The 16,983-nt window shown below is 40.8% G+C and overlaps 1 annotated feature.

The window, feature by feature from the left end:
- Positions 1 to 16,983: part of a centromere (Linear centromere model derived predominantly from reads generated in PMID: 17803354. This region does not represent an actual centromere sequence, as long-range ordering of repeats and unmapped WGS contigs is not provided by the model. For details of model production, see http://arxiv.org/abs/1307.0035.) that runs on past both edges of the window.

Genomic DNA, 16,983 nt, shown 5'->3' on the forward strand with positions numbered 1-16,983 from the left:
GCAGTGTTGAAACTCTCTTTTTGTGGAATCTGCAAGTGGATATGTGGACCTCTCCGAAGATGTCTTTGGAAACGGGAATATCTTCACATAAAAACTAAACAGAAGCATTCTCAGAAACTTCTTGGTGATGTTTGCATTCAAATCCCAGAGTTGAACCTTCCTTTGATAGTTCAGGTTTGAAACACTCTTTCTGTAGGATCTGCAAGTGGCTATTTGGACCACTCTGTGGCCTTCGTTCGAAACGGGTATATCTTCGCATAAAATCTAGACAGAAGCATTCTCAGAAAATACTTTGTGATGATTGAGTTTAAATCACAGAGCTGACCATTCCTTTGGATGGAGCAGGTTTGAGACACACTTTTTGTAGAATCTACAAGTGGATATTTGGACCTCTCTGAGGATTTCGTTGGAAACGGGATAACTGCACCTAACTAAACGGAAGCATTCTCAGAAACTGCTTTGTGATGATTGCATTCACCTCACAGAGTTGAACATTCCTATTGATAGAGCAGTTTGGAAACACTCTTGTTGTGGAATGTGCAAGTGGAGATTTGGAGCGCTTTGAGGCCTATGGTAGTAAAGGGAATAGCTTCATAGAAAAACTAGACAGATGCATTCTCAGGAACCTTTTGGTGATGTTTGTATTCAACTCCCAGAGTTGAACTTTCCTTTGGAAAGAGCAGCTATGAAACACTCTTTTTCTAGAATCTGCAAGTGGACGTTTGGAGGGCTTTGTGGTTTGTGGTGGAAAAGGAAATATCTTCACCTAAATACTAGATAGAAGCATTCTCAGAAGCTTCTCTGTGATGACTGCATTCAACTCACGGAGTTGAACACTCCTTTTGAGAGCGCAGTTTTGAAACTCTCTTTCTGTGGCATCTGCAAGGGGACATGTAGACCTCTTTGAAGATTTCGTTGGAAACGGAATCATCTTCACATAAAAACTATACAGAAGCAGTCTCAGAATCTTCTTTGTGATGTTTGCATTCAAATCCCAGAGTTGAACTTTCCTTTCAAAGTTCACGTTTGAAACACTCTTTTTGCAGGATCTACAAGTGGATATTTGGACCACTCTGTGTCCTTCGTTCGAAACGGGTATATCTTCACACGACATCTAGACAGAAGCTTTCTCAGAAAATTCTTTGGGATGATTGAGTGGAACTCACAGAGCTGAACATTCCTTGCGATGTAGCAGTTTAGAAACACACTTTCTGCAGAATCTGCAAGTGCATATTTGGACCTCTCTGAGGAATTCGTTGGAAACGGGATAATTTCAGCTGACTAAACAGAAGCATTCTCAGAACCTTCTTCGTGATGTCTGCATTCAACTCACAGTGTGGAACCTTTCTTTGATAGTTCAGGTTTGAAACACTCTTTTTGTAGAAACTGCAAGGGGATAATTGCACTTCTTTGAGGCCTACCGTAGTAAAGGAAATAACTTCCTATAGAAAGAAGACAGAAGCATTCTCAGAACCCTCTTCGTGATGTTTGCATTCAACTCACAGTGCTGAACCTTTCTTTGATAGTTCAGCTTTGAAACACTCTTCTTGTAGAAACTGCAAGTGGATATTTGGTCCTCTCTGAGGATTTCGTTGGAAACGGGATAAACCGCACAGAACTAAACAGAAGAATTCTCAGAGCCCTCTTCGTGATGTTTGCATTCAACTCACAGTGCTGAACCTTTCTTTGATAGTGCAGCTTTGAAACACTCTTTTTGTAGAAACTGCAAGTGGATGTTTGGTCCTCTCTGAGGATTTCGTTGGAAACGGGATAAACCGCACAGAACTAAAACAGAAGCATTGTCAGAAACTTCTTTGTGATGATTGCATTCAACTCACAGAGTTGAAGGTTCCTTTTCAAACAGCACTTTCCAATCACTCTTTCTGTGGAATCTGCAAGTGGATATTTGGGCCTCTCTGAGGATTTCGTTGGAAACGGGATAAAACGCACAGAACTGAAACAGAAGCATTCTCAGAAACTTCTCTGTGATGTTTGTGTTCAACTCCCAGAGTTTCACGTTGCTTTTCATAGAGTAGTTCTGAAACATGCTTTTCGTAGTGTCTGCAAGTGGACATTTGGAGCGCTTTCAGGCCTGTGGTGGAAAACGAATTATGGTCACATAAAAACTGGAGAGAAGCCTTCTCAGAAACTTCTCTGTGATGATTGCATTCAACTCACAGAGTTGAACCCTCCTATGGATAGAGCAGTGTTGAAACTCTCTTTTTGTGGAATCTGCAAGTGGATATGTGGACCTCTCCGAAGATGTCTTTGGAAACGGGAATATCTTCACATAAAAACTAAACAGAAGCATTCTCAGAAACTTCTTGGTGATGTTTGCATTCAAATCCCAGAGTTGAACCTTCCTTTGATAGTTCAGGTTTGAAACACTCTTTCTGTAGGATCTGCAAGTGGCTATTTGGACCACTCTGTGGCCTTCGTTCGAAACGGGTATATCTTCGCATAAAATCTAGACAGAAGCATTCTCAGAAAATACTTTGTGATGATTGAGTTTAAATCACAGAGCTGACCATTCCTTTGGATGGAGCAGGTTTGAGACACACTTTTTGTAGAATCTACAAGTGGATATTTGGACCTCTCTGAGGATTTCGTTGGAAACGGGATAACTGCACCTAACTAAACGGAAGCATTCTCAGAAACTGCTTTGTGATGATTGCATTCACCTCACAGAGTTGAACATTCCTATTGATAGAGCAGTTTGGAAACACTCTTGTTGTGGAATGTGCAAGTGGAGATTTGGAGCGCTTTGAGGCCTATGGTAGTAAAGGGAATAGCTTCATAGAAAAACTAGACAGATGCATTCTCAGGAACTTTTTGGTGATGTTTGTATTCAACTCCCAGAGTTGAACTTTCCTTTGGAAAGAGCAGCTATGAAACACTCTTTTTCTAGAATCTGCAAGTGGACGTTTGGAGGGCTTTGTGGTTTGTGGTGGAAAAGGAAATATCTTCACCTAAATACTAGATAGAAGCATTCTCAGAAGCTTCTCTGTGATGACTGCATTCAACTCACGGAGTTGAACACTCCTTTTGAGAGCGCAGTTTTGAAACTCTCTTTCTGTGGCATCTGCAAGGGGACATGTTGACCTCTTTGAAGATTTCGTTGGAAACGGAATCATCTTCACATAAAAACTATACAGAAGCATTCTCAGAAACTTCTTGGTGATGTTTGCATTCAAATCCCAGAGTTGAACCTTCCTTTGATAGTTCAGGTTTGAAACTCTCTTTTTGTAGGATCTGCAAGTGGATATTTGGACCACTCTGTGGCCTTCGTTCGAAACGGGTACATCTTCGCAAAAAATCTAGACAGAAGCTTTCTCAGAAAATTCTTTGGGATGATTGAGTTGAACTCACAGAGCTGAACATTCCTTGCGATGGAGCAGTTTAGAAACACACTTTCTGCAGAATCTGCAAGTGCATATTTGGACCTCTCTGAGGAATTCGTTGGAAACGGGATAACTGCACCTAACTAAACGGAAGCATTCTCAGAACCTTCTTCGTGATGTCTGCATTCAACTCACAGTGTGGAACCTTTCTTTGATAGTTCAGGTTTGAAACACTCTTTTTGTAGAGACTGCAAGGGGATAATTGCACTTCTTTGAGGCCTACCATAGTAAAGGAAATAACTTCCTATAAAAAGAAGACAGAAGCATTCTCAGAACCCTCTTCGTGATGTTTGCATTCAACTCACAGTGCTGAAACTTTCTTTGATAGTTCAGCTTTGAAACACTCTTTTTGTAGAAACTGCAAGTGGATACTTGGTCCTCTCTGAGGATTTCGTTGGAAAAGGGATAAACCGCACAGAACTAAACAGAAGCATTCACAGAAAACTCTTGGTGACGACTGAGTTTAACTCACAGAGCTGAACATTCCTTTGGATGGAGCAGTTTCGAAACACACTATTTGTAGAATCTGCAAGTGGATATTTGGGCCTCTCTGAGGATTTCGATGGAAACGGGATAAACCGCACAGAACTAAAACAGAAGCATTCTCAGAAACTAGTTTGTGATGATTGCATTCAAGTCACAGAGCTGAACATTCCCTTTGACAGAGCAGTTTGGAAACTCTCTTTGTGTAGAATCTGCAAGTGGAGATATGGAATGCTTTGAGGACTATGGTAGTAAAGGAAATAGCTTCATATAAAAGCTAGACAGTAGCATTCTCAGAAACTTCTTTGTGATGCTTGCATTCAACTCACAGAGTTGAACTTTCCTTTCGAGAGAGAAGCTTTGAAACACTCTTTTTCCAGAATCTGCAAGTGGACATTTGGAGGGCTTTGAGGCTTGTGGTGGAAAAGGAATTATCTTCCCGTAAAAGCTAGATAGAAGCATTGTCAGAAACTTCTTTGTGATGATTGCATTCAACTCACAGAGTTGAAGGTTCCTTTTCAAACAGCAGTTTCCAAACACCCTTTCTGTGGAATCTGCAAGTGGATGTTTGGACCTCTTGGAAGATTTCGTTGGAAACGGGAGAATCTTCACAGAAAAGCTAAACAGAAGCTTTCTCAGAAACTTCTCTGTGACGTTTGTGTTCAACTCCCAGAGTTTCACATTGCTTTTCATAGAGTAGTTCTGAAACATGCTTTTCGTACTGTCTGCAAGTGGAGGTTTGGAGCGCTTTCAGACCTGTGGTGGAAAACGAATTATGGTCAAATAAAAACTGGAGAGAAGCCTTCTCAGAAACTTCTCTGTGATGATTGCATTCAACTCACAGAGTTGAACCCTCCTATGGATAGAGCAGTGTTGAAACTCTCTTTTTGTGGAATCTGCAAGTGGATATGTGGACCTCTCCGAAGATGTCTTTGGAAACGGGAATATCTTCACATAAAAACTAAACACAAGCATTCTCAGAAACTTCTTGGTGATGTTTGCATTCAAATCCCAGAGTTGAACCTTCCTTTGATAGTTCAGGTTTGAAACACTCTTTTTGTAGGATCTGCAAGTGGATATTTGGACCACTCTGTGGCCTTCGTTCGAAACGGGTATATCTTCGCATAAAATCTAGACAGAAGCATTCTCAGAAAATACTTTGTGATGATTGAGTTTAACTCACAGAGCTGAACATTCCTTTGGATGGAGCAGGTTTGAGACACACCTTTTGTAGAATCTACAAGTGGATATTTGGACCTCTCTGAGGATTTCGTTGGAAACGGGATAACTGCACCTAACTAAACGGAAGCATTCTCAGAAACTGCTTTGTGATGATTGCATTCACCTCACCAGAGTTGAACATTCCTATTGATAGAGCAGTTTGGAAACACTCTTGTTGTGGAATGTGCAAGTGGAGATTTGGAGCGCTTTGAGGCCTATGGTAGTAAAGGGAATAGCTTCATAGAAAAACTAGACAGATGCATTCTCAGGAACTTTTTGGTGATGTTTGTATTCAACTCCCAGCAGTTGAACTTTCCTTTGGAAAGAGCAGCTATGAAACACTCTTTTTCTAGAATCTGGAAGTGGACGTTTGGAGGGCTTTGTGGTTTGTGGTGGAAAAGGAAATATCTTCACCTAAATACTAGATAGAAGCATTCTCAGAAGCTTCTCTGTGATGACTGCATTCAACTCACGGAGTTGAACACTCCTTTTGAGAGCGCAGTTTTGAAACTCTCTTTCTGTGGCATCCGCAAGGGGACATGTAAACCTCTTTGAAGATTTCATTGGAAACGCAATCATCTTCACATAAAAACTATACAGAAGCAGTCTCAGAATCTTCTTTGTGGTGTTTGCATTCAAATCCCAGAGTTGAACTTTCCTTTCAAAGTTCACGTTTGAAACACTCTTTTTGCAGGATCTACAAGTGGATATTTGGACCACTCTGTGTCCTTCGTTCGAAACGGGTATATCTTCACATGACATCTAGACAGAAGCTTTCTCAGAAAATTCTATGGGATGATTGAGTGGAACTCACAGAGCTGAACATTCCTTGCGATGTAGCAGTTTAGAAACACACTTTCTGCAGAATCTGCAAGTGCATATTTGGACCTCTCTGAGGAATTCGTTGGAAACGGGATAATTTCAGCTGACTAAACAGAAGCATTCTCAGAACCTTCTTCGTGATGTCTGCATTCAACTCACAGTGTGGAACCTTTCTTTGATAGTTCAGGTTTGAAACACTCTTTTTGTAGAAACTGCAAGGGGATAATTGCACTTCTTTGAGGCCTACCGTAGTAAAGGAAATAACTTCCTATAGAAAGAAGACAGAAGCATTCTCAGAACCCTCTTCGTGATGTTTGCATTCAACTCACAGTGCTGAACCTTTCTTTGATAGTTCAGCTTTGAAACACTCTTCTTGTAGAAACTGCAAGTGGATATTTGGTCCTCTCTGAGGATTTCGTTGGAAACGGGATAAACCGCACAGAACTAAACAGAAGAATTCTCAGAGCCCTCTTCGTGATGTTTGCATTCAACTCACAGTGCTGAACCTTTCTTTGATAGTGCAGCTTTGAAACACTCTTTTTGTAGAAACTGCAAGTGGATGTTTGGTCCTCTCTGAGGATTTCGTTGGAAACGGGATAAACCGCACAGAACTAAAACAGAAGCATTGTCAGAAACTTCTTTGTGATGATTGCATTCAACTCACAGAGTTGAAGGTTCCTTTTCAAACAGCAGTTTCCAATCACTCTTTCTGTGGAATCTGCAAGTGGATATTTGGGCCTCTCTGAGGATTTCGTTGGAAACGGGATAAAACGCACAGAACTAAAACAGAAGCATTCTCAGAAACTTCTCTGTGATGTTTGTGTTCAACTCCCAGAGTTTCACGTTGCTTTTCATAGAGTAGTTCTGAAACATGCTTTTCGTAGTGTCTGCAAGTGGACATTTGGAGCGCTTTCAGGCCTGTGGTGGAAAACGAATTATGGTCACATAAAAACTGGAGAGAAGCCTTCTCAGAAACTTCTCTGTGATGATTGCATTCAACTCACAGAGTTGAACCCTCCTATGGATAGAGCAGTGTTGAAACTCTCTTTTTGTGGAATCTGCAAGTGGATATGTGGACCTCTCCGAAGATGTCTTTGGAAACGGGAATATCTTCACATAAAAACTAAACAGAAGCATTCTCAGAAACTTCTTGGTGATGTTTGCATTCAAATCCCAGAGTTGAACCTTCCTTTGATAGTTCAGGTTTGAAACACTCTTTTTGTAGGATCTGCAAGTGGCTATTTGGACCACTCTGTGGCCTTCGTTTGAAACGGGTATATCTTCGCATAAAATCTAGACAGAAGCATTCTCAGAAAATACTTTGTGATGATTGAGTTTTAATCACAGAGCTGAACATTCCTTTGGATGGAGCAGGTTTGAGACACACTTTTTGTAGAATCTACAAGTGGATATTTGGACCTCTCTGAGGATTTCGTTGGAAACGGGATAACTGCACCTAACTAAACGGAAGCATTCTCAGAAACTGCTTTGTGATGATTGCATTCACCTCACAGAGTTGAACATTCCTATTGATAGAGCAGTTTGGAAACACTCTTGTTGTGGAATGTGCAAGTGGAGATTTGGAGCGCTTTGAGGCCTATGGTAGTAAAGGGAATAGCTTCATAGAAAAACTAGACAGATGCATTCTCAGGAACTTTTTGGTGATGTTTGTATTCAACTCCCAGAGTTGAACTTTCCTTTGGAAAGAGCAGCTATGAAACACTCTTTTTCTAGAATCTGCAAGTGGACGTTTGGAGGGCTTTGTGGTTTGTGGTGGAAAAGGAAATATCTTCACCTAAATACTAGATAGAAGCATTCTCAGAAGCTTCTCTGTGATGACTGCATTCAACTCACGGAGTTGAACACTCCTTTTGAGAGCGCAGTTTTGAAACTCTCTTTCTGTGGCATCTGCAAGGGGACATGTAGACCTCTTTGAAGATTTCGTTGGAAACGGAATCATCTTCACATAAAAACTATACAGAAGCAGTCTCAGAATCTTCTTTGTGATGTTTGCATTCAAATCCCAGAGTTGAACTTTCCTTTCAAAGTTCACGTTTGAAACACTCTTTTTGCAGGATCTACAATTGGATATTTGGACCACTTTGTGTCCTTCGTTCGAAACGGGTATATCTTCACATGACATCTAGTCAGAAGCTTTCTCAGAAAATTCTTTGGGATTATTGAGTGGAACTCACAGAGCTGAACATTCCTTGCGATGTAGCAGTTTAGAAACACACTTTCTGCAGAATCTGCAAGTGCATATTTGGACCTCTCTGAGGAATTCGTTGGAAACGGGATAATTTCAGCTGACTAAACAGAAGCATTCTCAGAACCTTCTTCGTGATGTCTGCATTCAACTCACAGTGTGGAACCTTTCTTTGATAGTTCAGGTTTGAAACACTCTTTTTGTAGAAACTGCACGGGGATAATTGCACTTCTTTGAGGCCTACCGTAGTAAAGGAAATAACTTCCTATAGAAAGAAGACAGAAGCATTCTCAGAACCCTCTTCGTGATGTTTGCATTCAACTCACAGTGCTGAACCTTTCTTTGATAGTTCAGCTTTGAAACACTCTTCTTGTAGAAACTGCAAGTGGATATTTGGTCCTCTCTGAGGATTTCGTTGGAAACGGGATAAACCGCACAGAACTAAACAGAAATTCTCAGAGCCCTCTTCGTGATGTTTGCATTCAACTCACAGTGCTGAACCTTTCTTTGATAGTGCAGCTTTGAAACACTCTTTTTGTAGAAACTGCAAGTGGATGTTTGGTCCTCTCTGAGGATTTCGTTGGAAACGGGATAAACCGCACAGAACTAAAACAGAAGCATTCTCAGAACCTTCTTCGTGATGTTTGCATTCAACTCACAGTGTTGAACCTTTCTTTGATAGTTCAGGTTTGAAACGGTCTTTCTGTAGAAACTGCAAGTAGATATTTGGACCTCTCTGAGGATTTCGTTGGAAACGGGATAACCCGCACAGAACTAAAACAGAAGCATTCACAGAAAACTCTTGGTGACGACTGAGTTTAACTCACAGAGCTGAACATTCCTTTGGATGGAGCAGTTTCGAAACACACTATTTGTAGAATGTGCAAGTGGATATTTGGGCCTCTCTGAGGATTTCGTTGGAAACGGGATAAACCGCACAGAACTAAACAGAAGCATTCTCAGAAACTACTTTGTGATGATTGCATTCAAGTCACAGAGTTGAACATTCCCTTTGACAGAGCAGTTTGGAAACTCTCTTTGTGTAGAATCTGCAAGTGGAGATATGGACCGCTTTGAGGCCTATGGTAGTAAAGGAAATAGCTTCATATAAAAGCTAGACAGTAGCATTCTCAGAAACTTCTTTGTGATGCTTGCATTCAACTCACAGAGTTGAACTTTCCTTTCGAGAGAGAAACTTTGAAACACTCCTTTTCCAGAATCTGCAAGTGGACATTTGGAGGGCTTTGAGGCCTGTGGTGGAAAAGGAATTATCTTCCCGTAAAAGCTAGATAGAAGCATTGTCAGAAACTTCTTTGTGATGATTGCATTCAACTCACAGAGTTGAAGGTTCCTTTTCAAAGAGCAGTTTCAAATCACTCTTTCCGTGGAATCTGCAAGTGGATATTTGGACCTCTTTGAAGATTTTGTTGGAAACGGGAGAATCTTCACAGAAAAGCTAAACAGAAGCATTCTCAGAAACTTCTCTGTGATGTTTGAGTTCAACTCCCAGAGTTTCACATTGCTTTTCATAGAGTAGTTCTGAAACATGCTTTTCGTACTGTCTACAAGTGGACATTTGGAGCGCTTTCAGGCCTGTGGTGGAAAACGAATTATGGTCACATAAAAACTGGAGAGAAGCCTTCTCAGAAACTTCTCTGTGATGATTGCATTCAACTCACAGAGTTGAACCCTCCTATGGATAGAGCAGTGTTGAAACTCTCTTTTTGTGGAATCTGCAAGTGGATATGTGGACCTCTCCGAAGATGTCTTTGGAAACGGGAATATCTTCACATAAAAACTAAACAGAAGCATTCTCAGAAACTTCTTGGTGATGTTTGCATTCAAATCCCAGAGTCGAACCTTCCTTTGATAGTTCAGGTTTGAAACACTCTTTTTGTAGGATCTGCAAGTGGATATTTGGACCACTCTGTGGCCTTCGTTCGAAACGGGTATATCTTCGCATAAAATCTAGACAGAAGCATTCTCAGAAAATACTTTGTGATGATTGAGTTTAACTCACAGAGCTGAACATTCCTTTGGATGGAGCAGGTTTGAGACACACTTTTTGTAGAATCTACAAGTGGATATTTGGACCTCTCTGAGGATTTCGTTGGAAACGGGATAACTGCACCTAACTAAACGGAAGCATTCTCAGAAACTGCTTTGTGATGATTGCATTCACCTCACAGAGTTGAACATTCCTATTGATAGAGCAGTTTGGAAACACTCTTGTTGTGGAATGTGCAAGTGGAGATTTGGAGCGCTTTGAGGCCTATGGTAGTAAAGGGAATAGCTTCATAGAAAAACTAGACAGATGCATTCTCAGGAACTTTTTGGTGATGTTTGTATTCAACTCCCAGAGTTGAACTTTCCTTTGGAAAGAGCAGCTATGAAACACTGTTTTTCTAGAATCTGCAAGTGGACGTTTGGAGGGCTTTGTGGTTTGTGGTGGAAAAGGAAATATCTTCACCTAAATACTAGATAGAAGCATCCTCAGAAGCTTCTCTGTGATGACTGCATTCAACTCACGGAGTTGAACACTCCTTTTGAGAGCGCAGTTTTGAAACTCTCTTTCTGTGGCATCTGCAAGGGGACATGTAGACCTCTTTGAAGATTTCGTTGGAAACGGAATCATCTTCACATAAAAACTACACAGAAGCAGTCTCAAGAATCTTCTTTGTGATGTTTGCATTCAAATCCCCGAGTTGAACTTTCCTTTCAAAGTTCACGTTTGAAACACTCTTTTTGCAGGATCTACAAGTGGATATTTGGACCACTCTGTGTCCTTCGATCGAAACGGGTATATCTTCACATGACATCTAGACAGAAGCTTTCTCAGAAAATTCTTTGGGATGATTGAGTTGAACTCACAGAGCTGAGCATTCCTTGCGATGTAGCAGTTTAGAAACACACTTTCTGCAGAATCTGCAAGTGCATATTTGGACCTCTGTGAGGAATTCGTTGGAAACGGGATAATTTCAGCTGACTAAACAGAAGCATTCTCAGAACCTTCTTCGTGATGTCTGCATTCAACTCACAGTGTGGAACCTTTCTTTGATAGTTCAGGTTTGAAACACTCTTTTTGTAGAAACTGCAAGGGGATAATTGCACTCTTTGAGGAGTACCGTAGTAAAGGAAATAACTTCCTATAAAAAGAAGACAGAAGCATTCTCAGAACCCTCTTCGTGATGTTTGCATTCAACTCACAGTGCTGAACCTTTATTTGATAGTTCAGCTTTGAAACACTCTTTTTGTAGAAACTGCAAGTGGATATTTGGTCCTCTCTGAGGATTTCGTTGGAAACGGGATAAACTGCACAGAACTAAACAGAAGCATTCTCAGAACCTTCTTCGTGATGTTTGCATTCAACTCACAGTGTTGAACCTTTCTTTGATAGTTCAGGTTTGAAACGGTCTTTCTGCAGAAACTGCAAGTAGATATTTGGACCGCTCTGAGGATTTCGTTGGAAACGGGATAACCCGCACAGAACTAAAACAGAAGCATTCACAGAAAACTCTTGGTGACGACTGAGTTTAACTCACAGAGCTGAACATTCCTTTGGATGGAGCAGTTTCGAAACACACTATTTGTAGAATGTGCAAGTGGATATTTAGGCCTCTCTGAGGATTTCGTTGGAAACGGGATAAACCGCACAGAACTAAACAGAAGCATTCTCAGAAACTACTTTGTGATGATTGCATTCAAGTCACAGAGTTGAACATTCCCTTTGACAGAGCAGTTTGGAAACTCTCTTTGTGTAGAATCTGCAAGTGGAGATATGGACCGCTTTGAGGCCTATGGTAGTAAAGGAAATAGCTTCATATAAAAGCTAGACAGTAGCATTCTCAGAAACTTCTTTGTGATGCTTGCATTCAACTCACAGAGTTGAACTTTCCTTTCGAGAGAGAAGCTTTGAAACACTCTTTTTCCAGAATCTGCAAGTGGACATTTGGAGGGCTTTGAGGCCTGTGGTGGAAAAGGAATTATCTTCCCGTAAAAGCTAGATAGAAGCATTGTCAGAAACTTCTTTGTGATGATTGCATTCAACTCACAGAGATGAAGGTTCCTTTTCAAACAGCAGTTTCCAAACAGTCTTTCTGTGGAATCTGCAAGTGGATATTTGGACCTCTTTGAAGATTTCGTTGGAAACGGGAGAATCTTCACAGAAAAGCTAAACAGAAGCATTCTCAGAAACTTCTCTGTGATGTTTGTGTTCAACTCCCAGAGTTTCACGTTGCTTTTCATAGAGTAGTTCTGAAACATGCTTTTCGTAGTGTCTGCAAGTGGACATTTGGAGCGCTTTCAGGCCTGTGGTGCAAAACGAATTATGGTCCCATAAAAACTGGAGAGAAGCCTTCTCAGAAACTTCTCTGTGATGATTGCATTCAACTCACAGATTTGAACCCTCCTATGGATAGAGCATTGTTGAAACTCTCTTTTTGTGGAATCTGCAAGTGGATATGTGGACCTCTCCGAAGATGTCTTTGGAAACGGGAATATCTTCACATAAAAACTAAACAGAAGCATTCTCAGAAACTTCTTGGTGATGTTTGCATTCAAATCCCAGAGTTGAACCTTCCTGTGATAGTTCAGGTTTGAAACACTCTTTTTGTAGGATCTGCAAGTGGATATTTGGACCACTCTGTGGCCTTCGTTCGAAACGGGTACATCTTCACATAAAATCTAGACAGAAGCATTCTCAGAAAATACTTTGTGATGATTGAGTTTAACTCACGGAGCTGAACATTCCTTTGGATGGAGCAGGTTTGAGACACACTTTTTGTAGAATCTACAAGTGGATATTGGGACCTCTCTGAGGATTTCGTTGGAAACGCGATAACTGCACCTAACTAAACGGAAGCATTCTCAGAAACTGCTTTGTGATGATTGCATTCACCTCACAGAGTTGAACATTCCTATTGATAGAGCAGTTTGGAAACACTCTTGTTGTGGAATGTGCAAGTGGAGATTTGGAGCGCTTTGAGGCCTATGGTAGTAAAGGGAATAGCTTCATAGAAAAACTAGACAGATGCATTCTCAGGAACTTTTTGGTGATGTTTGTATTCAACTCCCAGAGTTGAACTTTCCTTTGGAAAGAGCAGCTATGAAACTCTTTTTCTAGAATCTGCAAGTGGACGTTTGGAGGGCTTTGTGGTTTGTGGTGGAAAAGGAAATATCTTCACCTAAATATTAGATAGAAGCATTCTCAGAAGCTTCTCTGTGATGACTGCATTCAACTCACGGAGTTGAACACTCCTTTTGAGAGTGCAGTTTTGAAACTCTCTTTCTGTGGGATCTGCAAGGGGACATGTAGACCTCTCTGAAGATTTCGTTGGAAACGGAATCATCTTCACATAAAAACTATACAGAAGCAGTCTCAGAATCTTCTTTGTGATGTTTGCATTCAAATCCCAGAGTTGAACTTTCCTTTCAAAGTTCACGTTTGAAACACTCTTTTTGCAGGATCTACAAGTGGATATTTGGACCACTCTGTGTCCTTCGTTCGAAACGGGTATATCTTCACATGACATCTAGACAGAAGCTTTCTCAGAAAATTCTTTGCGATGATTGAGTTGAACTCACAGAGCTGAACATTCCTTGCGATGTAGCAGTTTAGAAACACACTTTCTGCAGAATCTGCAAATGCATATTTGGACCTATCTGAGGAATTCGTTGGAAACGGGATAATTTCAGCTGACTAAACAGAAGCATTCTCAGAACCTTCTTCGTGATGTCTGCATTCAACTCACAGTGTGGAACCTTTCTTTGATAGTTCAGGTTTGAAACACTCTTTTTGTAGAAACTGCAAGGGGATAATTGCACTCTTTGAGGAGTACCCGTAGTAAAGGAAATAACTTCCTATAAAAAGAAGACAGAAGCATTCTCAGAACCCTCTTCGTGATGTTTGCATTCAACTCACAGTGCTGAACCTTTCTTTGATAGTTCAGCTTTGAAACACTCTTTTTGTAGAAACTGCAAGTGGATATTTGGTCCTCTCTGAGGATTTCGTTGGAAACGGGATAAACTGCACAGAACTAAACAGAAGCATTCTCAGAACCTTCTTCGTGATGTTTGCATTCAACTCACAGTGTTGAACCTTTCTTTGATAGTTCAGGTTTGAAACGGTCTTTCTGTAGAAACTGCAAGTAGATATTTGGACCGCTCTGAGGATTTCGTTGGAAACGGGATAACCCGCACAGAACTAAAACAGAAGCATTCACAGAAAACTCTTGGTGACGACTGAGTTTAACTCACAGAGCTGAACATTCCTTTGGATGGAGCAGTTTCGAAACACACTATTTGTAGAATGTGCAAGTGGATATTTAGGCCTCTCTGAGGATTTCGTTGGAAACGGGATAAACCGCACAGAACTAAACAGAAGCATTCTCAGAAACTACTTTGTGATGATTGCATTCAAGTCACAGAGTTGAACATTCCCTTTGACAGAGCAGTTTGGAAACTCTCTTTGTGTAGAATCTGCAAGTGGAGATATGGACCGCTTTGAGGCCTATGGTAGTAAAGGAAATAGCTTCATATAAAAGCTAGACAGTAGCATTCTCAGAAACTTCTTTGTGATGCTTGCATTCAACTCACAGAGTTGAACTTTCCTTTCGAGAGAGAAGCTTTGAAACACTCTTTTTCCAGAATCTGCAAGTGGACATTTGGAGGGCTTTGAGGCCTGTGGTGGAAAAGGAATTATCTTCCCGTAAAAGCTAGATAGAAGCATTGTCAGAAACTTCTTTGTGATGATTGCATTCAACTCACAGAGTTGAAGGTTCCTTTTCAAAGAGCAGTTTCCAATCACTCTTTGTGTGGAATCTGCAAGTGGATATTTGGACCTATTTTGAAGATTTCGTTGGAAACGGGAGAATCTTCACAGGAAAGCTAAACAGAAGCATTCTCAGAAACTTCTCTGTGATGTTTGTGTTCAACTCCCAGAGTTTCACATTGCTTTTCATAGAGTAGTTCTGAAACATGCTTTTCGTAGTGTCTACAAGTGGACATTTGGAGCGCTTTCAGGCCTGTGGTGGAAAACGAATTATGGTCACATAAAAACTGGAGAGAAGACTTCTCAGAAACTTCTCTGTGATGATTGCATTCAACTCACAGAGTTGAACCCTCCTATGGATAGAGCAGTGTTGAAACTCTCTTTTTGTGGAATCTGCAAGTGGATATGTGGACCTCTCCGAAGATGTCTTTGGAAACGGGAATATCTTCACATAAAAACTAAACAGAAGCATTCTCAGAAACTTCTTGGTGATGTTTGCATTCAAATCCCAGAGTTGAACCTTCCTTTGATAGTTCAGGTTTGAAACACTCTTTTTGTAGGATCTGCAAGTGGATATTTGGACCACTCTGTGGCCTTCGTTCGAAACGGGTATATCTTCGCATAAAATCTAGACAGAAGCATTCTCAGAAAATACTTTGTGATGATTGAGTTTAACTCACAGAGCTGAACATTCCTTTGGATGGAGCAGGTTTGAGACACACCTTTTGTAGAATCTACAAGTGGATACTTGGACCTCTCTGAGGATTTCGTTGGAAACGGGATAACTGCACCTAACTAAACGGAAGCATTCTCAGAAACTGCTTTGTGATGATTGCATTCACCTCACAGAGTTGAACATTCCTATTGATAGAGCAGTTTGGAAACACTCTTGTTGTGGAATGTGCAAGTGGAGATTTGGAGCGCTTTGAGGCCTATGGTAGTAAAGGGAATAGCTTCATAGAAAAACTAGACAGATGCATTCTCAGGAACTTTTTGGTGATGTTTGTATTCAACTCCCAGAGTTGAACTTTCCTTTGGAAAGAGCAGCTATGAAACACTCTTTTTCTAGAATCTGCAAGTGGACGTTTGGAGGGCTTTGTGGTTTGTGGTGGAAAAGGAAATATCTTCACCTAAATACTAGATAGAAAGCATTCTCAGTAAGCTTCTCTGTGATGACTGCATTCAACTCACGGAGTTGAACACTCCTTTTGAGAGCGCAGTTTTGAAACTCTCTTTCTGTGGCATCTGCAAGGGGACATGTAGACCTCTTTGAAGATTTCGTTGGAAACGGAATCATCTTCACATAAAAACTATACAGAAGCAGTCTCAGAATCTTCTTTGTGATGTTTGCATTCAAATCCCAGAGTTGAACTTTCCTTTCAAAGTTCACGTTTGAAACACTCTTTTTGCAGGATCTACAAGTGGATATTTGGACCACTCTGTGTCCTTCGTTCGAAACGGGTATATCTTCACATGACATCTAGACAGAAGCTTTCTCAGAAAATTCTTTGGGATGATTGAGGGGAACTCACAGAGCTGAACATTCCTTGCGATGTAGCAGTTTAGAAACACACTTTCTGCAGAATCTGCAAGTGCATATTTGGACCTCTCTGAGGAATTCGTTGGAAACGGGATAATTTCAGCTGACTAAACAGAAGCATTCTCAGAACCTTCTTCGTGATGTCTGCATTCAACTCACAGTGTGGAACCTTTCTTTGATAGTTCAGGTTTGAAACACTCTTTTTGTAGAAACTGCAAGGGGATAATTGCACTTCTTTGAGGCCTACCGTAGTAAAGGAAATAACTTCCTATAGAAAGAAGACAGAAGCATTCTCAGAACCCTCTTCGTGATGTTTGCATTCAACTCACAGTGCTGAACCTTTCTTTGATAGTTCAGCTTTGAAACACTCTTCTTGTAGAAACTGCAAGTGGATATTTGGTCCTCTCTGAGGATTTCGTTGGAAACGGGATAAACCGCACAGAACTAAACAGAAGAATTCTCAGAGCCCTCTTCGTGATGTTTGCATTCAACTCACAGTGCTGAACCTTTCTTTGATAGTGCAGCTTTGAAACACTCTTTT

The sequence above is a fragment of the Homo sapiens genome, chromosome 17 (genome assembly GCF_000001405.40).
Source record: "Homo sapiens chromosome 17, GRCh38.p14 Primary Assembly".
Lineage (NCBI taxonomy): Eukaryota > Metazoa > Chordata > Mammalia > Primates > Hominidae > Homo > Homo sapiens.